Source organism: Homo sapiens, chromosome 1 (genome assembly GCF_000001405.40).
Source record: "Homo sapiens chromosome 1, GRCh38.p14 Primary Assembly".
NCBI classification, from domain to species: Eukaryota; Metazoa; Chordata; class Mammalia; order Primates; family Hominidae; genus Homo; species Homo sapiens.
The window spans coordinates 192,580,770-192,605,159 of record NC_000001.11 but is presented as its reverse complement, the minus strand read 5'-3'; the positions used below and the strand labels follow the sequence as shown (position 1 = coordinate 192,605,159).

General features: G+C 36.9%; 1 long non-coding RNA gene across 1 annotated transcript in view; it reads left to right on the top strand.

Annotated features, from left to right (window-relative positions):
* The window catches only part of LOC105371664 (uncharacterized), a 115,921-nt gene that overhangs the window by 23,874 nt on the left and 67,657 nt on the right, over positions 1-24,390 (top strand). Inside the window, exon 3 of the long non-coding RNA XR_002958418.2 lies at positions 11,503-11,561. This is a non-coding gene — a long non-coding RNA (uncharacterized LOC105371664). The remainder of the gene's footprint in view (positions 1-11,502; positions 11,562-24,390) is intronic.

Sequence of the window (24,390 nt, the reverse complement as noted above, 5' to 3'; positions counted from 1 at the left end):
GACATGTGATACCACAAAGCGGAAGAAGTCTAATCTTGAGCCACATGTATTTTTTAAAAAATATGCCAGTGCCCATTTATTTATAGAAACAAGCTTGGCCATTCATTAGTAACCAAGGCAGGAAGAAGTCATCTGATATTCATGCACAAATTTAGCTATTTCCATTTGAATGAATATAATCTTGAAAGATTTAGTTTTTAAAGGTTCTATTTATTCATAATAATTAAATTTTATGTAAAACATTACTTGTAAAGCATTTTGATATAAGTTTTTTAACACAATTTTTATAATATGATCTTGAGGAAGACAGGGCATTTATTATAGTTATCTGTATAAGTAAATACAGATAAACTAACTAACTAAATAAATAAACTAAATAAATAAAGTAAATAAACTAAAGAAGTTAAATGACTTGTCCTAGGTCACCTATTTTTTTCTTGGTGGAGCCCAGATTCAATTTAGTCCTCTACTCACAAAGACTATAGACTTGGAATAAAGTTAGAAACCATCAAAAAGCATTATCCAGGTCCATTTCTTTGCATACAATCTATACATTATTGAAATGAAATTTATCTCAAGAATCTATTGTCAGCATGATTTGGTATTTCCTGGAATTTTACAATTATAAAACTAGATAGATTCTAGAGATCTAGTCTGGCTATCTCCTTTTATTTTGTATTGTAAACATAGTTCCTTTCTGTTAATCCATCAAAAATTTTTTAATAGTTTATATTTTTAATAAAAAATACTAAATATAGTTCGTTGCAGGTTTGGGCATACGATGCTAAATACTTTTATACTTTTAAAAATGTACAAGAAATTGACAACATCATATATTAGAACAAGCATTGTAACCTCTTGAGAGAGAATATAGCCTAAAGCAGTTCATCCAAAACCTCCCTACATTATATGATTGACATTTGACTCTTTCCAATATGTCTTTAGGTCTTCTTAGCATAGATTCCCTAGAAATACCTCAATAGCAGAATAAAATTTATGTTGGAAGATGATTGAAAGCTTGTGACTAAATTGTTCTACATGGTTGGCATCATGTAAGTGCTCTATCTATCTGTGTATCTATCTCTATCTATTTGGGGTTAAATTTATAGTCCAATACTTTGTAATTTATTTTATAAAAGTCTCACATAACTTTCCTATTTTGAAGTCTCCTGAGTATTAAAATATAATTAATATTTGAATCAAATATATGTTTTGTAACTACCTAGTTGTTAGCAACAATTGCATTATATACCTGAAGTTGAGGGAGTAGAGAAGGATAAAACATTATATAGTGCAGGTTTGAGCTATTATATTGTTCAGAGATGATGCACTAGTTAAAAACTAGAATATTCTTGAAGTGGGACTTGAACTGGGATTTGAAGGATCGATTTGGCTTTGGAGAAAAGAGGTATAGCATTCTAAAAATGGAAGACAGCAAACAAAACAAACAAACAAGCAAAATACATGAGAGTAGAATAAACACCTCTGTGGAGTTTACAATGAGGAGGCTGGGTTTGTCTGTTTACAAGATGAGCCAGACTGCAGAACTTCAGGAGCTACAATCAATGGGCTCTGGTCCGGGTCATCTCTAGGACATGGAATCAAGGTCATCTGGAAAGTGAACACATTGGGCAGCATGTGAAACCAGGATGTTTGACTGTTGGAAGAAAGGAAAGTGGGTAATTCTAATCAAGGGGCCAAAACAAGTACAAGCCAGTTGGTAAAAGGCCACCTATCAGTGGAGCTTGAAGCAACAGTCAATAAACAGACAGTCAGGAGGGCAACAAATTAGTGGAGCTCAGTTAGTGAAGGCCTAGTATCAGTGCCTGGGTACTCAGTAAATTAAGTCCGTATGAGATACTAGTAAGAAGAAAAAAAATGAAAGTTACTCAGTTACAAGGCTGGAATATAAGCAAGCAGCAAGACCAGAGCAACATACTGCCAGTGAAATTATCAACAGAAGAATGTTCATATTCCCCTGTTTCAAGTACAGTGTTGTTCAGAGCCTAGAGACTGGGCTGAACATGTGAATGGGCATACTGAGGCTTCAAAGATAGGGGACATATAGGGATTAGGAGTCAAACGTGCCACTCCTCATGATTTAACTTGAGAGTATATGTTAGATTATGGTGGGGAGTTGAACATGAAAACCTTAGAAAGTGGAAGAAAGTGTTCAGGCTTGATGTGGTTGCTATTCAGTAGGTCCTTGAGCAGAAGAGCAACCACATTAGGTCAGTTCTTAATGCAAATGGTTCTGGCTTATAACATGCAAGATAGCTTGAAAAAGAGAGAAACCAGATATACATGAAGTAGATGAGAGTATTTTGTAGCAAATATTAGTGTGAAATTATGGAGCACTTAACTTCATTTGCCAGGCAGTTTCAGAGAAGATATAAGGATGAGACTTTCAATGCCGTGAGTTGAAAAATGAATACGAAGTGAGTAAATGAAATCAGCAAGGGTAGACTATTGTTTTCAAGAGAGTGTCTGCGTGCAAGGAGAAATAAATAGGAGAGTAGTTAGAAACTCAGGGTATCAATTTTTTTTAAGAGGGAAGATATTGTTTTTATACAAACCCTTTGAAGGAAAACATTTTTTTTGCATTTTGGACTAAGGAGAATGGTACTTCTGAGCAATTCTATGTTTTATGTTAGAAACACTTTTGATTTTGAAATTAATCAGGTTTTTCCATTTTGCCTTGACTGTCTGAAAATGTAAAGTTAACTTTGCTTCGGCTGAAGGAAATTTATAGATCTTCATGCGTTGGATTTTAAACCTCATTCTTGAGTCCATTTTAGGCTTTTGTCTTATTTTTCTCCCATTTGCCAGTTGCTCCTATTTGTATTCCTTTCTTCCTTCCTTCCTTCCATTTCTTTTTTTTGTAACCTTATAATTCACTTACATTACCTTCTGGAATGAGATGGGGGTATAAATAGATTTGTTGTACCCCTATAACAAATGCATGGTAAGATCTTAATTAGTGTTTATTAAATAAATTAAGCCAAGAATATAAAGAAGAATCTTACAACACTTTGTAGAATGACACGACAGGATTTAATAATAGACTGGATAAAGGCAATGAGAACAGGAGTTAGTGAAAGTTTTTGGCTTTAATCGGGAATTCTTATTGGGCTATCTAGAACAAAAGTGGGTATTAAAAAGGTAATGCAGATTTAATGGAAAAATAGCTTAGATTTGAAAAAACTCTTTACTTGGCTATCATCTGTAAAAAAGCTTTAACTTTTCAAAACTATCAGAAGTTGCCACTTGTGTTGATTTGTGTCAGATGATTCATGTCTGTGTCATTACCTTGAGGCTGCTATACATAGAACTGTGCTCACATTCATGCTGGACATAGGGACTATTTTCTCTAAAATTTCAGGTAAATTTTAAAAACTCTGGTTCTGTATTATCAGCATGATCACTTCCTTCAATTCTAGTCCTTTCCAGGGTGTGTATGACACTAACATTGTGGTTAATGTGTGGGAGGGTAGGGGCATCTTGAGAGTGAAATGAGAGTATCAAGAATAAACACTGTTCTTATTAATATGAAATATAAACTGAAAAAGTTAGCAAGAAGAAGTTCAAATCTTATATTTAGTTTCAAACAATGAGGAGAGCATCCTTCAAATAAACTCACGTGAAAGTGAATAGGACCTTAATGCAATATAGTCCAAACAATATTATGTGATTAAATAGGAAAGAGATACAAGCATAAACAGCATTTGTTGGCAGTGAGATGGAATTACAGGAGATAACAGTTTCACTGTATTCTGCTGGAGTCCTCTGTTCTCAATCTTTGTAACACCTTGAAGGGGATTTTGACTAAGTCATATTCTGGAGACAATGACTTCATCAGAGCAGGCTCTGGGACCAGTCAGGTCACAAGTGGCCACAAAATATGGGGTTTTTGATTCTGGAAAAGAGATCTGTTAAATATCATATAACATAAAAAGGGTGTCATGTGAAAAAATGCTTTGATTTATTCTGCAAATCTCTAGGAAATTTACTTAAACTGTTATGCACTGAATCAAGAAATATTTATTAAGCATTGATTGCTAGGCAGTATGTTAGGTGCTGGAGAAAGAGGGAGGAACAAGACAGGTGCATTCTCTGAGTTGAAGGGTGAGATAATAATACTTAAAAAGACAGACAAATGCTGAGAAGGAAGTTATGTGGGATACTGTGGGTGCATACAGCAACGCAACCAAGTGGTAGAAGTTATAGAGGGTCAGATTTCTAAGTAATTATTATTTTACATAAATATATACCCAGTACGTAAATGAAATGAGCTTCCCAACTGCTAGTCCCCATGTCCCATTAAGGAGAGTCTTGTTACTAGATATTTTCTAGTAGCTGCCAGATGGCTTTTTGTGTAGAATTTCATAGAGATTATATTTTCTTCAGGTGAAAGATTGAAGGAGAGACTCTCTTTAGGTATTTTCCAACTCCAAAATTTGTCTACAACCATAAAATGTTCAGTTATGAATTTTTAATCTCTTGGAGTAATTTAAAGTTTCTTAACACATGAAATAATTAAGCAATCACTAGCCTTAGTTACCTCCTTTTATTCAGTGACTAATCTTATTTATAAAAAGTTTTTTTTTTCCTGTGGGTGGAAGTAAAAATAAGAGTGTTTAAGAAGGAAACATGGGTGATTAACACCCTTAAGAAGCTTATTACCATCTTTGGATTATAAATAAACTTGAGGGAAAAAATGCATCATTATGTCTCTTTTTTTTCCCAGAAGTTTACTAAGGGTGGGATCCCCTTCTTACCTCTTGAATAACCACAGAAAAAAAGGAAAGAGTCATACTGTTTATCGTTATGTCATTTAGTGACAAAATTAATGATTGTCATTTTTGGGTGCTGATTTGTGATCTTACCTCTCAAAGCTGCTCTGATGGTTAGTTATCTTTTCATCTGGATCATCCTGTGATGCTTTCAAAATGCTGTCTGGTCCATTATACACCACTGGAAAAAATCATGAAAATTTCTTTTAGATTATTTTAAACAAAAATTATATTTTAATAATCAAAATATAGAAAAGAGGTAAAAACCTTAAAAGCACCAGACTGCACCCCCAGAGAAATGAACTCTAGTTTCCTTTTGTTTTGGGTAAGCTATGTGGGTTTGAGCAACTTTTATTTTCCAAGGTGTATAATCACAGGGCTTGGAAGGATCACGTCTAAAAGTTTCTCCACATTCTACCACTTAGAGGTGGGTGATGGGCTCTGGACAGGAGGGCTTTCCTTTAATACTGAGTGACAGCAATGATCTTGAGTGGTTTGTATCAATCTCAATAAATTGTCTATGAACATTCATTTAAAAATGTAATAAAACCTTATTTTCAAATTCTGCTAGTTATTAGTAACAATATCAGATATTTGCATTGCATTTTATATCTTTCCCATCCATGTCCCAAACATTCTTATTTGGTAGACATAACAGAATAATCCATAAATAAAAGTAAATGAAACCAGTTCCATCATATAAAAAGACACAAAAGTTCATCCAGAGTCACTGTGAAGCCCAAGGTTATATGGCTAATGTGAGGTGGAAGCGAATTTCTGATTTCAATTTCTGTACCCCTTTTCAAATGAACAGCTCTATATAAGTGTTATTTATTGTTGCATTGATGTTACCTATGTATAAGAGAGATGCTCTGCCTGACTCTCATCATTATGCTCTGCAGTAGCCTTCAGTAAGAAAAGATCACTTCATCACACATCTGCCTATTTTCTGTTGGAACTTAGCATACGAAATTTGCAGAGAACTGCTAAAGGCAGTTTGAAGGTACTTGGGCAATGCCATTTCCTTACAGATTTGAACATTTTTATTCCGTTCAGGTCCCACAGGACATTGGGCCCTCCTGTTGGGTGGTTCTGTTTACACCCCAGAGAGGCTGCACTCCTGATTCATCCATCTGCAGGAGCACAAGGCCCAGGGGTGATCCATACCCGCTACTCAGCTGTATCACCACAAAACTCTGGGCTGGTTTCTTCTTTTGGTTTATGTGACTATAATTTCCAATCAACCAGCTAGAGAACCAAGTCTTGCATTCAGCATAATTTTTCATGGATTAGGCAGGGAAGCCTGGACATCAGAATATAAGATATAAGGGAAGAATTTAGCAATCTGTGGTGTCAAGAAACTCTCAATATCTCCGTGGCCTCTGGAGTCAGACAGAATAGCTTTAAATCTTGCTTTCCTACTTGGTAGCAGTGTGAACCTGAACAAATTACCTAACCTCGATAAGCCTTAATTAACCCATATGGACAATATTGAAAATAAAAGCATGCATTTTAAAGGGTTGTGGGTGAGGATTAAATGAGAAAGCATAGGCAGAATCTGGCACATGGTAAACCACAAACGGACTGGCCACTCGCTTACAATCCCCTGTGCCTCTCATGTAGTGAGCAGCATCCTGGAGAGAGAAACTGTTTCTGAAAGTCAGAGTACACAGATGGCTGTGAATAGTATGAGTTATCATAGAGGAAAAAGGATTGTCTTTGTAATTTTTACAGAGACAACTTAAGAATTAGCTATTGTTTTGGGAATTGCATTTACCCCTTTGAAAATAATAATCCTAAAGTATGGAGACAAATTATAGGTAGTAGATTATGGTCTATCTCTAAAACTGATGGGTTGTCTTCACATTACCATTAACTACTTAGGGCCCTTGAAGAGGTTATTTTGCTTTTCTAAATTTTATAAAATGAGACCTAAATGATCTTCAGTATTTCCTCCTGGTCTAACAGTCTATGGTTCTTATGAGTCTATATACATCTATTAATGGTACCTATATTTATTTATTTTTCCTGGAAATTCCTCTTTATAGTGTTTCCATAACATACTGGAGATTTTCTCTTGGAAAAACTAATGGTTTGAGCACGTTCTGAAAGTCACAAGAAGGGAAGTGCCTTTGAACCAGTAACTTTGCTAATGGAATTGTCATCCCAGAGGTTGTGTAGCTTTAAAATGTGAAGTACTGTATCAAATCTAATTACCATTTATTGTTAACTTTCCAAATGCTAGGCATTGAGCTGCTAGGTTTACTCACAGTACTTTATTTGTCACACTATCACACACACATACACACGCAGGCTGGCAGTCAGTTATTGTTCTCATTTTATATTTGGGAACACTGAGGTTCAGATATGTGAAGCAACTAGTCCAAAGTCACATAGCTGGTGGTGATGCTAGGCTTTAGGCTTGGGTCTGTCTGACAACTCTGGCCATGTCCTTATCTCCATATTGTCTCTACAAAATGGTTTAAGTAGATAATAGTTAAGAAAGCAAACTAAATGTTCTGGGAAATAAACTGCTAATTTCTGAGTTTGACATAAATCAGGATAATCTTTTTTTCCTCTTTTTTCACTTTTCTATAAATGTGTTATTTATTGTTGCAGTTATATTACCTATACGTAAAAGAGATGCTCTGCCTGATTCTCATCACTGGACTCTGCAGTAGCCTTGATTAAGAAAAGATCACTTCATCACCCTTTACCCATTTTCTGTTTGAACTTAGCATATCAGATTTGCAGAGAACTGCTAAAGGCAGCAGCCTTTTAATGATACTTGGGCAATACCATCCCTAGGCACCTGTGTCAGTCACCAGGTCAGGTAAGCCACAGCACAATTCCATGAGGGGAGGACTTAATGTGTGTACCACTGTGCTCCCAAAACTTAGCACAGTGCTGGAACATAGGAGGCATTTAGTCAATAGGTGTTGAGTAACTAATACTCAGGATACAAATTTATTCATTTTTTAAATCCAGCAACCATTTATTGTGTACTTACTGTGAGTAAGGCATTCTAAAATGAAGACGTGTTCTTTGCCTTCTAGGAGATTATAATTTAGGGGGGGAAGGAAGACATGTATTTTAATACTAAATGAAGTAGCATATTTTTCTCCAAGATGATTATTGTTCCATACAATCCTAAGATGTAGGCTGGGTAGTAATCAAATTATCTTTAGCATCTTTTCATATTGCTTGACTTCGTGTTTTAATTGGCTTTTATTTTTCTCAGCTCAAGAATATATTTTTATGTGTCTGTTATCTAAAAAACTTAACGATTACATTATTTTGCTAGGATAACCATCTCTCTCACGTCTGTTCTTGTTAGTATTATGCAAGCCTATTGTCAATAGCATTTGTCCACTGTATCAGTCAGAGCTCTCCAGACAAGCAGAACTAGTAGGACACAAACATTATATAAAATATATGATTATATATGTATGATTACATATATATTTATTTATGAAATAAATATATTCAAGGAATTAGCTCCTGTGATTGTGGGGGTTTGCAAGTCCGAATCTGTAGGGCAAGCAAGCACACTGTAAACTCTCAGGCAGAAGCTGATGCTGCAGTCTTCAGCCTGAATTTCTTCTTCCTGAGGGTAACCTCAATTTTGCTGTTAAGGACTTTCAACTGATTGGATGAGTAAGCCTCACCCACATTATTGAGGATGATCTCCTTTATTTAAACTGATTGTAGATGTTAGCCACATCTACAAAGTACCTTTTTAAAACAATGCCTAGATTCCTGTTTGGCTGGGTAACTCTGTGCCATAGTCTAGCTAAGCTTACACCTAAAACTAGCCACCATGATCACCACTTATAATATGAAGAAGGTTTCTAAAATAATAAAATTGACAGTTAAAATTTTTTTTTGGCAGACAATAAAGGACTTCTTTTATGAATTGTTATGTTTAACTTCCAGATTAAATTTTGAGGGTCTGAAATATCCAACAGGAATCATAGAGTTCTGAGAGATTTAAAGTGATGCTTTGATTTCCATGAAGTCAAAAATTGTGTTCTATTATGAAAACCACTTCTAGGAAATCTATACTTCATAAGACACAATTGAGAAAGCCACTTTTGTTGAGATTTAATTCCCACTTCTTTCTGCCACTTCACAATCACTCACTGAAGAAAGAGAACAAATGTTCTTGTCGCAAATGGGATTGAAGTCTAGCCTCTGTCATTCATCACTTGAAACAGTTTCTTGTAAACAACCAGAAACATCTTCAACTTTTCTTAGATACATTTTCTAAGTGTCTTTAAAAGTAAGGAAAACACAGATTGGATATCTAAAGTCAAGGAGAGTTCTGAGTTCAGTTTAGTAAAATTTCTATGCATCGATCTATATGTTTCTCTGGAACCATCTTTTAATAATTGTATTTCAGTTCATATTAGAGAATTTGTTCTTAGGAACTATGTGTAATTCATTTCTCTTGAGGCTTTCTTCTCGCTTACATCCTAGGTAAAAATAACCCTGAAACTTCAATTCATAGCCTGTGTAAATAAAAAACCATACCTAGTGTTCTGTGAATTCTGGGAGGAGGGAGAGCTGGAGAGCTTATATTTCATGGTTTCCACTGCTTCTTAAGTTTCTTTTTCCTGTTTCGTTAGAAGCTTTGCTTAATCGTTAAAACCTTGACATAGACAAGCTTAGTCTCCTCCTCACTTAATTAGCAACAATTAAAAAATGTGTCTCCATCCGCACAAAACATTTCTTAGATAAATAAATAGATGTTATGAAGGGAAATATACCCAACTATGTGTATGTGTGTTGGAAATTGGATGAAATGGAGAGCTTTACAGTATAACAAGACAAATAACCTCAAACGAAGCAATAGACATGCACATGCCCCATCGCTGCACCACCTCCTCCCTCCTCCTCCCTACCCCTCCTCCTCCCTACCTCCTCCTCCTCCCCACCCCTCCTCCTCCCTAACCCCTACTCCTCCCTACCCCTCCTGCTCCCTACCTCCTCCTCCTCCCTACCCCTCCTGCTCCCTACCCCTATTGAGTTTTCTGGCCCCTTTCTCTCCTTTATTCTTTCTTTCTTTTCTCAATTTGTAGCTATCAGTTTCTTTCAAGAACTGCTATAGCAACTTTGTACCCTTTCTTATGCAGAACGTCTTCTCTTTTCCACCCATATTCTTTCTGTCCCCTGTGATTCTAATCTGCTCTGAGGAAAAACTCTTTCTATCGGATATACGATAATTATGGTAAGAGAACAATAAGATTAAACACAAAGTCTCATTAAAAGGGCATACATTTATTGCAAATGATGAAAATAATGCAACCCAAAATAAGACTTTCATCCAGAAAAACATATAATACCTGAGTAAAGATTGCAATGTTTTCTATTCCATGGAAAACTGCTACTGAACCAAAGGAGAATGTTTTTTCCCTTTCTCCTCTGTTTTAGCTACCCACAGGAACTGTTCAGTTTTTGTCTTCCTTTCACATTTCCAACCCAAATATTATAGTAAACACTGTTGTTAAAGGTTATTGATGAATTGAGTGATATTATCATTCATTTTGCAAACACGCATATTTGCCAGGAATGATAGGGAGTTGAGATGCAAAAATGAATATGACATTTTCCCTTCAAAGATATTACAGTCCATTGCAGTATCATTTAAATAAATTATACAAATATATGTTAGCAGTGCTGTGATAAGCCTGTGTTTGGGGAGAGTGGGGGCACAAAAGAAGATCTAGACCATTTTTCACTGCAGTGTTTAGGTGTAGGTCACACAAGTCATTTTGAAAAACAGGTAATGATTAAATGCTCTGAAGGTGGACAATTTAATGCTGTGGAAATGAATAATGCTTTTCTAATGAATCAAAGTAGATATTGATTAAGGGTAAGGGCAGGTAGAGAGAAAGGTGAGAAATGATAGAAAAGCAGAATAAAGATGAGGGAAAAGTAAAAGGGAAGATAAATTTTGCTCAATTCACTTAGTCGATGCAACACATTCAAATTACTGGCAGCAATTTTCTCAGAAATGTCTAGTAGAGTTTCACTTTTTTTCTAGCTTTGAGGATAATAGCTCATCAAATTACACAGATAGACTATGAGATAATTGGAAATATCTAAGTGGTATATCAGTGTATCGGCTATTAGTGACTGTTAACGAGGAGTTGGAATAAAGCAATTTACCTGATGCTGGTATGCAGAAGACTCACTAGCTAGATACACAGTGAGGCTCTGTTAGTTATTGTTCAAAAATTCATATAGTGTTATTGACACGTTCACCTTGAGAACGTTTGTAGGTCATAGCTTTGCTATGGATGTGTAATTCTGAACACAGTAAACTGTTCTGTTCTAGTGTAGTTAATGAAAACAGGCAACGGTCTGCTGCATTGCATTACTGAAATATTACTAGAGCATTGTATTTCCAAAGTATTACTGAAATAGTTACCATGTTACAATTTTCTGTACTAGTTTTAGTCAGTGTTATGATTTGAATGTGTCTTCCCAAAATCATGTGTTGGAAACTTAATCCCCAAAGCAACTGTTTTGGGAAGTGGGGCCTAATGAGAGGTAATTAGGCCATAAGAGCTGAGTGAATGAATTAATATAGATATTGCAAAAGTAGGTTTGTTATAAAAGGGGGAGTTTGACCCTTCTTTATTTTCTGTCTCCCTTGTCCTTGCCCTCTCTTGGCCTTTCTGCCTTCTGCCATGGGATGATGCAGGACGAAAGCCCTCATCAGATGCTTACATCATGATCTTGGACTTCCCAGCCTCCAGACTGGTAAGAAATAAATTTCTGTTCATTATAAATTACCCAGTCTCAGCTACTCTGTTACAGTTACATAAATGGACCAAGAGAGTCAGGGAGACAGCATGGGACAGGTTACGAAACTTTTGCATCTGAGTCAGGCTCCTGTGCTCTGTCTACTCATTTTTAATTTTACCTTTGTGACTTTATTACTAGGGTGTCCTAGAATAAACCATTTAATCTCTTTGCACTGGGGCTTCATAATCTACAAATGGGAAGAGTAGGTTAGACAACTTCTGATCTCCTTTCTAGATATGACATTCTAGGATTCCAGATAGTGGAATACAATAGTGTGGCTTTTTGTTTCCCTCTCCTAGAGTGGATGAGAAATCACTTAGTTAGGCAGAAAGCCCATTTATAATGCTTTCCTGCCTCATATTTCCTCTCAGACACTATTGGTGTAGAACAGATATTTAATAGGTCCTTGTTGACTGAGTAATGTCCTTCCTATGGTCAGGAGCCCTCAGAGGCTTTTGTAAATGTTCTCAATTTAGACTTCAGAGCATTAAAGGAAGATGCTTCATTTTACCAGTGACATTTTTTTAATGATACAACTAAAAGCAAGGATTTAGCTTTTGCTTTATGTGAGTAAACAAAGTTGTTAAAGTCAGGCATCGTCCTGGAATAAATGTGAACTGCTGTAATTAGAAACTGTTTCTGTCATAATTACGTTCTAGAGGCTGAGGCGTGAGTTCATTTTAATAAATGGGAAAAGAAAGTAACCCAGGCCAAGGAGATTCATCTTTGGAAAAGAGCCTAGCAGAAATACAACATCATCCTACCTCAGAAACTGGATAAACAAATGCCCAAATGAGAGAAACAGAAACCACAGCTCCTAGAAAAAACTCTTGAACCATAAGAAGACTGTAAAAGAAAGGGGCTGAATTCTGACCATAGGAGGAGTCACGCAAAAATCTCCCTTTATGTGGTTCCCAGTGAGCTTGTCTGAAAGGGAAATGAGTGGTGAAAGGCTTTTAGTTTTAAATTTTCGTCAAAAGGATGATCTATTCTGTTGCATTATGGCCCATGCAGAAAAGAAGGAAAATCAAAGTAATGCTGAGGAGGCCACTTCAAGGGGGGAAAAAGAATAACTTTCAGTTAGTATTTTCGTTTGTTTCAAAAATAGACAACATTTGGCATAAGGTCACTTGTATATTACTGAGGATGATAGATGATGTGGAGATATAAAGTATGAAAATGAAAATAGTTATTTAAAAAAGCTTAATAATTTGGGGGACATGTTTAGAAAACTCTAAGTCGGTATCTTCCTACCCTTTTCATATCATGGTTCATATTAAGAAATAAAAAAATAAAATGTGTTCATATCACTGTGGTGCATACTGTCAAGGGTGATAGGCCAGCCCTGGGATTTGGGGTACCTCATGCCCAACCTGACCAGGCCTGGGGGCTGAGGGATTAAATACTTTTGCTCACCTGAAACTTATTTTTGGAACACTTGTGAATCCTGTAAGCCATCTAATACTTTTTAGTAGGATATATGGAGAAGGAGACCAGACCTTCCACGTAATATGGAGGATTATCATTATTATTTCTCAAGTCACTGCAAAATACTGGCAAATATTGTTCTAAACTTATCAAATTGTAATGGACATTATTTTAGTAGAATTCAGTTAGTGTTAGCTGTTCAAGTTTGTCCGGCTATGGTCACAGCTACCAGTCATGCACACCAGAATAACTGATTATCAAACATAGGCTAAAACATTATTTTTTTTGGGCTGGAGTCTCACTCTGTTGCCCAGGCTGGAGTGCAGTGGCACAATTTCGGCTCGCTGCTACTTCTGCCTCCCAGATTCAAGCCATATCCTGCCGCAGCCTCCCGAGTAGCTGGGACTATAGGTGTGTGCCACTATGCCCGGCTAATTTTTGTATTTTTAGTAAAGACGGGGTTTTACCATATCGGCCAGGCTGGTCTCAAACTCCTGACCTTGTTCCACCTGCCTCGGCCTCCCAAAGTGCTGGGATTACAGGCATGAACCACTGCACCCGGCCTCATAGGCTAAAACATTCTATTAATTATATGCTTTTCTGGAGTTGCTTTTGCTGGAGTAGTAATAGATTTTTAAAACTCAGTCATCAATATAGGTCCTATTGTCTATCTCTTTCTTAAGTTTTCCTTAGTTAATAGCATGTAAGAAATCAACCAGCTTTATTATTATCTGAAAATTTTCAGCCTCATCTTGAGTGTTTTAATGAAAAAATTTTAAATCACCATCTGCCATGTATTCTAATTAAATGATGTTCTGCCTTGTGGCTATTTTCTGCAATTAGTCCCTGAGATACAGGTTGTTTTGTTTTCTAATATGCAGGGAAAACACAATAATAATAAATATGTTACCATGTTAACTAGAGTAAAGGTTGTAGCAAAGAGACTCCAAAGGCAATGGTGAAACATCTCCTGCCAGTAATAGGACAGGTAGACATCCTCTACTTCCCAAGGTCATCCAGGGACCCAGGCTAGAAGGGCAGCTCTGCCCTCCTCTGGGGCACTGGCATCGTCTGCAAGCTTAAAGCTGGGTGAGTGCGTATCTAGTTTCCAGCTGCCAGCCGTATATTGAGTTTAGTGAGATGTCAGACTAAAAATGAAGTTACACACACACACATACACACACACACACACACACACACACACACACACACACACACACACACGTGTTTTATAAAGCCCAGGTGGCCTAGGCACACACAGAGATAGAAAAAAAGCAGAGAAAAGGAAAACAGTTGTCCATATGTGCTGTTTCATTCACCAGGTTGATTTTGTCCATCTTGCCTTTGACTTTTCATGATGGGGCATTTGCTGGACTTTATTCTTTAATCCTTTTTGGTTCTTCGTCTTCTTTTTTTGATTCCCCTGTTTCAGTTCCTATTCCTTCTCCTTCCCTCACTGTCACTTCAGGAACCAGAGGTTTCCCCTCACCTTTGAGATAAGGCAGTTTTAGGATTTGACAACTTTGCCACAAATCTCTGACCAGAAGTTAAAAGGATGCTTCAAGTGCTCTGTTTCTACAATTTTACATCTCAGATGGCTCCTCGGTGGCAGCGTGCACTTCCCGGCTCATCACTTTCCCCTTTTAGGTATTTCCCATGATCCTGGCCCAGTCTCTGTCTTGCTCATCAGTAATTTTAGCATCCCTTTTGCCTCTTTGCATTGATTCTCCCAGAACTGATCCTTAGCCTATCCACAGATACCCAGGGGAAGTGGATCTCTTCTCGCTGTCAATAATGTCCCACTGGTCAGCTACTTTCTGGTAATTCTCTCTTATCTCAAATCAGCATCAGTTATATTTCTCCTTAGCCTAACTCCAGAATAGACAATCCTCCGGCCATTCTTTTTCTTTCTTTCTTTCTTTTTTCCACTTTGTTTTTATACTCTTTTTAAAATTCTCTTGAGAAGTCAAGTAAACCTTCTCCATTTGATGATTCACCTGCCGCTGCAGGGTCTTCGTCAAAAGCCTAATTTTGCAATTCAATGTTTTGGAAAGAGAATTCTGTGCTCTTTATTTTTAGAGTTGATTACTACTAAACAGACATCCTTCCCTGAAGTCGCAGTTTCAAAATTGTGGAAATACTTAGGGAGTGAGTCTGCAAATAACTAAGTCATCATTCTAATCTATGAAGCTTGAAAGATACATTTAGCAAATTGTATCCAGCATAACCCAGGGACATTGAATATTTTGAAAACATTTGAAAAGATAATTAAGGATATCAAGCAAGATGAATCAAATTCTCAAAATGGTTAGCTGGTATAAAACCCATGTCCTTTAGAGGCTTTTCGATGTTCACTGAGATATTATCTCATCTATTTGGATAACTGGTAACACTCTTACCTCAAATCAGCATCAGTTATATTTCTCCTTAGCCCAACTCCAAATAAATCATCCAAACAAATAATATTTGTCATAATGGAATAAATAAACAATGGATTTAAGGTAAAAAGTACATTTTCTGCTAGTTGGGTAAATTGCTTTACCTTGCTCAACCTTGATTTACTGTCTATAAAGCAGGAATAGTAACACCTTTTTCTATCTAATAGTGCTGTTCTGGAATCAAAGAAAGGATATCTATTACAGTTGTGAATACCGTATGGGCTTTTTCTCTTCTTATGCTATACTTAGCTGTGCACATGCCATCTCTGGATCAAACAGTAGTCATATTGACTGCAGAATATGTGGCTGACTGATCACAGCACCTAACCCAGTGCCCTGTTTGCAGAATAGCCTGAATAAATACTTTTTATAAATAATGAACAAATCTCCATTTTAGATTATTTTGCCTTATTTAATTAACTCTTTTATTATATAATATGCTAAGTTTATAACCTGATAAACTCATGTTTTGGAAGTAGATGCATAATAAATCTTAAATATATGATGTATTCATCAGAGATCTCAAATGATTCTAGCAGAAGCTTTGGAACTGGAATGGCTCTTCAGAACTGACCCAGTTGAGACAAGGGGGCTAGATCTTTGGACTGTGATCTGACCACTCACTGACTACAGGCTGCTATCAAAGAGGAGATGTAAACCTGGTAAGGCAGCGTCCACAAGCCAAAGGCAATTCCTGGAATACAACTAATCAGTGAGATGTTAGCAGTCAAAATTCCCAGATGCTTGGAGGTAGAGCACCTCAGTTCTAAAGGGAGATTGTGTACTGCAGTATACAATACCATCCACTCTTTGTATCTTCTAGATATTATTGCTTTATATAGCGAGTTCAAATCCATCTGGAAACAGCTGTTGTTGGGTTCTGGAGGAACTTTTTTTCTGGGGAAATCTTATGAGAGGTCAGTGGAATGAAGTACTTCACCAACACCACCACTGTGTTTAATCTTGAGGCCACAACTATTACTCATTATCTTTCTCTTCTATTCCCCATTCCAGTTTCCTGTCACACTCAGCCAGGCTCTCTGCCTCCTTCTTCTTCTTAGGAAGAAGCATGATTTTACTTTTCTTCCTCTGCACATGGGAAGCCCCTCAAATGGGAACTCTGCCCCAGTCTAACATTACCTGCCACTGGATAGTGAGTTGGTCTAATTCTACATTAAATGAGCAAGCCCCTTTGACCCTTTCCCAATGCTGTGTTCTTTGACCTACATGTATCAGTAATATTTTGGCTTCCACCTCAATCTTTTAATTTTATTTCTCAAATAATGAGAACCTGGGTAGGAAGAAGGACATTATTCCATGGGAGACCATCCAAGACCACCCTTCTTCCATAAGGAATTAGGCTGCTGTAAATGTTTGCTAATGGTGTTGGTGATATTTAATGAGGCAAACACCTCTTCCAATTCTTCTTTCTAGCTGTAGACTGATCTGATTTTCAATTCAGTGGGCTTGGTTCTATCAGTGTTGAATCCTAACTCCATGTGGGAAGAATGTCTTACCATCTCTTGAATGATACACTGTTCCTATGTGTTCTGGAAGCTTCACAGAATGTTCAGGGAGTTTGCCCTCTTAGTGTTTGTCATACATTTTATTGCTCTCTCCTCTCCCTCAGACTCTGGACCTTCATCAAAGTACAATATGAGTGTCAGGCATCAGCCATAATTAAAGTAGTATTTCTGCTAGCTCTGTCCAACTGTTTGTATGTCAAATTTGTGCATCACAAAACTTTCTCCTCATAGGATGAATTATTTCATAGGTAGCTATGTGGTCCTTTAGGGAAACTGGCTCTGTGAGTTCATGCGTCTATTTTTTCTGGTATGTACTAAATTCACACCTCCTGCCTGAATCCCAGGTAACCACAGGTATGCTTTTTAGAGCTGTACATTATATTTTCTTAGAATTCTGACTAATACTTGATGATTGGCCCATTTTAACCTCAAAGCATTTATGTCTGTATGGGATGTAGCCCTAAATTGAGTCAAAGCAAATGAATGGAAAATACATGTTGCGTGGCCAAATTGATTTCACGAAGTTTTTTTATCCATTGTAAAATTTTCCATCACTTATTCTTTTCCTGCTTCTTGGCCTTCACCTCCCTTTTTCTTGTTGTTTTTGGCATTTCGTCTCCCAAGCTGTGCCTGAAATAAGCTTTTCACATATTGTTCTCATCTATAGCTTATATCTTCTCTTCCAGTCAGCTCTATCTCAAAGAACATCACAGGGTTAGAGAGATAACCTCTGTCTAATATGGGAACTAAGTAAGACTGCATTGTGACGGAGAAATTGCCCTGTTTTTTTTTTTTTCCAGGATGGATCCATATCTCTTTAGAGATGAAATAAGGAACTATTTCTTTTTGAAAGAAATTTAAATTTATATCAGTGTCTTTGTATTCATCAGGATAAAATTTCCTAGGGACTCTAACAAATAATTCCCACATCTCAATGGCTTTTATGATCACTCATAAAAATGCCAGTGTGAGATGCATGGCTCTTCTTGGTAATTCCTTCATGTGCCTTTGCAATGTCAAGTTCTTTTGCTTCCAGCAGTGCTCCTTCTAGAAGGAAGAGGGTGGAGAAGAGAGAACAATTAGGATGTCTTATTGCGAGGCCTAGAACTGGTGGCTATCCTTTCTGCTCACATTTCACCAAGTAGAACTCAGTTTTATGGCTTTAATAATTCAAGGTAAAATATCAAGTTACAATTTGAGATAACGTAGCAAATTTAAGGTAAAAGGGCTAATGGAAAATAAATATCCAGTCAAATATTAACTGTATAGAAACATCCATAGAAGTTTCTATATTTGCCATCTTCTTTAACAAGGGCTGGGAAATGTAGTCTTCTTGGTGCCAGGGAGAGGGCCTAAGACTGGTGAACAGATAGACAGTCTCTACCACATCTCCTAAAACAAACAAAAAGAATAATTTTGGGACAATAACTATAGCTAAAGTAGAAATATATGGATGTGAGCAAAGTAATATTAGTAATTAGTAGGACTGACTTATTCCAGCTCTTCTGGGCCCCAATAATACCAGAGTTTATATTTATTTGTGAGTTACAGAGAATGCAATTCATCCAATGTTCAAGAAGTTCACAAAATAATTTGGCATACTTTGAATTCAATCCACTGTGTTGTGTACCTCTTACTTCTCTGAAGCCATAAACTTCCTTCAGGACAGAACAAACTACTCTCTCCTCTGAGCTCTCATAACACATTTTTCCTGTTTGTCAAGGGAAGGCTGAGATAAACCCCAAGAATTCCACAGGAGCAGAAGGAGAAGGGGCAGGATGTTCATGGTTCTTCAGCTTTACAGCATCCCATGAGGAGGCAGGTGTAGCTTGCCCTCACTGCTCCCCAGTACCTCCCCTTGTTTTTTTAAATAGGATCTTTGGAAGCAAATAGACAGCACCCAGCTGATTTGGTGACAGCAGAGAGAGGGCTTGCAAGAGGAGAAAAACTTGATGTGACTTGATGCCCAGGGAGGTTGCATACAGTGCTGATATGCAAAGTGTCTCCCACTATAGGGAGGAAGAGCCACCAGTCCCATTTGACTTTTTCCTAGGGATCTGAAGAGAACCCCTAGGCAGATCATCTATCAGACAATCTTATTTGTCTCTCCTTTATACCTCTTTTATAATGCTTATAGTCTATTTTACTATAATCCATTTGCCTCCTTCTTCCCAAGAGCGTAGTGAACTTATTTTTGCTTTATTATTTATCATTTCAGTGGGTCTAGCACCTAGTGAGGCTTATGGCACATAGCAGGTGTCATTACTGATAAATATGTTAATTTATCAATTAATAATTAGACTCTTTTCCAGACTACTTTAGCACTTCTTACTACCCCCATAGAAAGTATAAATTGTAATCAATCTAGTCAAAATTATGCCAAAGAAACATTATAGGAAGTATCTTATTTAGCTCTTCCTATGGGAACATGTTCTACGTATTACTTCTTCATAGTGGGTCATTTGTCTCATTAACTGACAGATTTAAGAAAAAAGCACTAGACTTCGAGTACAATCTGTTTTTATCACTAATTCATGCTGAGGGTTACAAGGCAGGGGATAAAAGATGAAACCAGAGCAGAATGTGTTGATCTTACTGACTTAAACCAAGCCTACTGAATTTTTCACTTTCTAGGTTTGACTAGAATAGCAGTACATAGTTTAGGGGGATGGGATAATATCTGAAATTTACATCATTCTGATTCCTTTTCTCTATGTAAAAATAAAGGATAAAAAAATCTTCACTCATTTTGAGGAGTTAAGGCAAAGATGATTGAACTGAAAAATGTGCCGAAAGAGTGACTGGCTACCTTAAGTCTTCAGTCCTATTTTTCTCTCTATTGACAAGAAGTGGGCACTACCATCATCCCATCAGTCAAATAGACCCACTTTCCACAGGAGGAGGGAGAATTCCTGCCCCACTGTTGATTTCAACACAGGCCTCCACGCTGTCTACTGCTGTGGGTCACCATGATGGTTTTGTTTGTGTTTGACAGTTTTTTTTTTTTTTTTTTTTTTTTTGCCCATCTCTTGGCCTGAATCCTAGATTTTGGTTTTGTTTCCTGTCTGTAAAAGGTGCTTTGACCTTACAGCTATTACTTGCTGCAATTCTTTTGAGTTTCTTGATCCTTGTTTTTTGTTCTCAGCCTGGATTGTGTCTTGCAAGCCTCTGCTTTTGTCCAAGTTAAAAGTGAGCTTTGAGAGAAAACATGTGGAATGTTTCATATACATGGTAATTGGAATAAACCATTGTCTACTGAAAATACTGCATAATTTATTTTGCATGTGGAAACTCTTGAAAGTGTGTGCCTTAATCTTCCTCCAGTGCTACCACATTCTATTTCCACATTGTTTAATGAGCATTTGTAATGGAAGGACCTCATCGACAGTATGTTAGAGCAGAGGACATTGCTGTAATTTTGGGAGCCCAGCCGAATCACCTCAAATGTATCCTAAATTCTCTCTATTAATTATTCGTCGAAGCAAATTGCTCACCAAGTATTGCCTATTCGCCCTGTCCTTCCCATTGCCTTGATTACTGCCCTATTTCAGGCTCAGATTCTCATTTGCTGGGCTACAAAACCAGCCTCATATTTGGGTTTCCTTCCTCAATTATGTCTTCTTTTGCAAGTGTCTTTCATAGTTAATCTAGAATTACCCTTTTTAAAACACAAATAAATCATCTCCCTTCCATGAAGAATCATGACATAATGGGGAGTCTTTGGAAAGATACAAACCTAGGTTCAAATCTTAGATCTGCCATTCACTAGTTATATGTTGTTAGATACTTTTTTCCACTTGTTTCTGCATTTGTGGATCAATAAAATGAGCCTAACAATACTCACCTCAAAGAAGTTTAAAGTGGATTAAACAGATAACACATGTATCCAGCACAGTGCCTGCCCCATAGTAGACATTCAGAAACAATTAAGACTTTATTCTTTTGCTTAAAACGTCAGTGGTTACCTATCCTGTAAAAGATAAAAATTCACTCTTTTCGGAGTAGACTATATTTTCTCTCTGAATCTTCTCTAAACTACCTTTTTAGCTTTCCCTCTTATACTTTCTCTTTCCCTATATATTCCAGCCAAACTAAATAAATCACTATTGTTGAACACAGTATTTTTTTTCCTGATTTCCAGACTTTTTAAGACTATTCCCTGAATCTGGAATGTTCTCACCTTCTTTCTCCCCTGGTTGGGTTATATTTGTTCTTCAAGATCCACCGTAACATCCCTTCCCTGTAAAAAAAAGAGGACGAAAAAAAGGACAAAAGAAACCAGCTACTATTATGACAAGTAAAAGTAAAAATGCAAGTTAAACATAGAACAAAAGCAAATCCAGTACTTTTCCTGGATGAACAAAGCCCATGTCTATTATAATGTATTATTTGAATAGCTTTTTTACTAAAAAAAATCTTCCAGGAAGTCTTAGAGTTTTTATTTGAGAAGTGAGGAAGCTGGTTTTTCTTTCATTCGAGTGACATAGAGCGTGTTCATTTGAAATGCTCCCTAAAATATTTGAAGTGGTCATACTCAGCTAGGTGGCTCCTAGCTGACATCTGACCCTGCTTATGAGTTCGACAGGAGAGGGAGGGAAGAGGATGTAAACATTAAATTCGAAAACATAATAAACATGACCAACAAAGTTTTCTAAATTAAAACAATTTACTTACAATACACTGTTTCTTCCCATGTAAATAAATCAGCTCCCTAATCCTGCAAGCTTGACTCCTTTCTCAATCATCAAGTGTACCATATGGATCTTCCCTAAATGGGGGCAATATTCCAAATTAAGGCATGGTTCCCATAGGTTTCTAAATTTGGTTCTTTTAGACTTAGATTGACATCCCTGGCCTAATCTATCAGTTATGAAGTTATGGAAGTTTTATAGTAAGTCTATATAGCCAACTCTAAATTACAGCAAAATCCTTTTTGGATTAAAATTTCAATTTGAGAAGGTAAAATATTAAAAGTATGACAGTTCAGTCATTCAGATTATCAAATGAGATACGTTAAGATGCTTCACCAATGCTTTTTCCTTTTCTCTTCTCTTCTTCTCCCTCCCTTCCTCCTGTGCTCCCCCCTCTCTCCCTCCCTCTTCCCATCTCCCTTTTCCTTTCCCTTTCTCCCTCTCTCTTTCTGTCTTTTCTTTTTGTCCTATTTTCATATTCAAAGTAAAGGAGCCACTGAGGAGTATATACCAAGTCAAATATTTACTGCAGAGAAACATCCATAGAAGGTTTTGTATTTTGTCTCTATTTTTTGTAGGAAGGTTTCATTTAGTTTAGGCATGTAGTAAGATATAAAATTTTGCTATTGGGATGATACAGCTTTAGCTTCAAGATACTGTTCTCAACAAAAAGGATAGAGTTATTTCTGTAGCTGACTGTTGATTTTTGTTTTATAGATGTTTTCATCCTAGTCTTGCAAAAATTCTATAGCTATATAAAATAATTTATATTGATGGCATTTTAAACCACCTTTTACTATATTTTTTCCCTCACAAATTTTAGTTTTTTAATTTTCAACAATAGATTGTCAAAGATTCCTACTAGTATAATACAGCCCATGTTTGCACACAGAAACAAAGAAACTTGAACTTCATTCCATGTAAACTAAATGGGTAAATATGTAATTTTTATGAGACGCCATTACCCACATTTTCACCTTCATAGATTCATAGCTTTCTGGGATAGGCATATTTTAAAGTACTGCAAAATAAGCTTGAGAAAAGTAAATTTTAAAAAACATTTTTGGCTTTTAGCCATGCTATTGTTTACTGCCATTGCTTTAGTATTACAAAAGAACATAGCCTGTGAACTGAAAATCAGATTGTCCAGTTGGATCAAATTTTTTAAATAGTAGATATCACTAGCTCTAATTATATTTTGTGAATGATCTAATGAAACAGTCACATCATAACAAAAAGTGACAATAGGCCAGGCGTAGAGGCTAATGCCTGTAATCCCAGCATGTTGGGAGGCAGGTGGATCACTTGAGGTCAGGAGTTTGAGACCAGCCTGACCAACATGGTGAAACCCCATCTCTACTAAAAATACAAAAATTAGCCAGGCATGGTAGTGGGCACCTGTAGCCCCAGCTACTTGGGAGGCTGAGACAGGAGAATCACTTGAACCCGGAAGGTGGAGGTTGCAGTGAGCTGAGATCACACCCTTACACTCCAGCCTGGGTGACAGAGTGAGACTCCATCTCCAAAAAAAAAAAAGTGACAATAAAAATTTATCTTTTCAAGTATTTTACATTATTTTGAATCTATGCAACCAGGATGACTTTTTTTTTTTTTGGTCAAAATGAAGAGGCTTCTTGTTTTGATCTTCTGTCTAAAATCGAATGGTTTTTGGCATTTTGTCAAGAGAAGAACCAGAGCATTTATTGTATGACTGGTGAGTGTGTTAGACAGTTGCACTGCTTGCTCCTCACAGTCTTGAAGGCCTGGACTATAATTAATGTGACAGTCCTTGGAAACTGCTTGGGAAGCTGAGGCAGGGGTATCACTTGAGCCTGGGAGGTTGAGGCTGCAGTGAGCCATGATCACGCCATTGTACTCCAGCCTAGGCAAACTTGTCTCAAAAACCAACACAAAACAAACAAAACCTTGAAGAATTGCTTTAACTTTGAAAACCGGAATGGGTTAGGAAAGGGCATTTTAGAGAGTAGAGCATAACCAAAGGCTGGAGATAGTGAAGGCTTGGAATTATATAAGATAAGGTGAATAATCCAGTGTGACTTCAAGGTAGGAAGGATACCCAGAGTTGAGTAATGAGAGTTATATCATGAAGGTTACACTGGGAGGGTTTTGAAGCCCAGAGGGAGACATGTATACTTCATTTTATATGTCATGGGAAATGATGTGGCCAAATCTGTGTTTCAGAAGATGATGTTTGTAGCTGTTCAGAGGATAAATTAAAGAAAAGACACTGGGAAGACAAAGAACATGTCATGTGAATTGGCAAACTATGAAAGCCTGTACTAGGATGGGGTAATAAAAAAGAGCAAGCGATGTTCTAACCACAGACACTGATTGTAGAAGAATTATTGGCAGAATTTGGTGATGGAATGAGTTGAGAGAGAGATGACTGATGATGATGATGCTTATTATCATTATTATTATTATCACTGGACTCCCAAGTTTCTCTTACTTAAAGCAGGAATAAAGCATAAAGTAGAACCAATTTAAACTCTGTCCCATGACAACTCAAGAATAATTCTGTTTGTACCTGATCTGCATATTGCCCCTTACCATTGCTGTGTGCCTGATGACTGGACCAGTCCATAGTGAGATTATCCATACATTAACCGTATTTCATTGTGATATGTGAGTGACTGATTATTGAATAAAATATAAAGCACAGGTGCGCGGGGAGATAAGA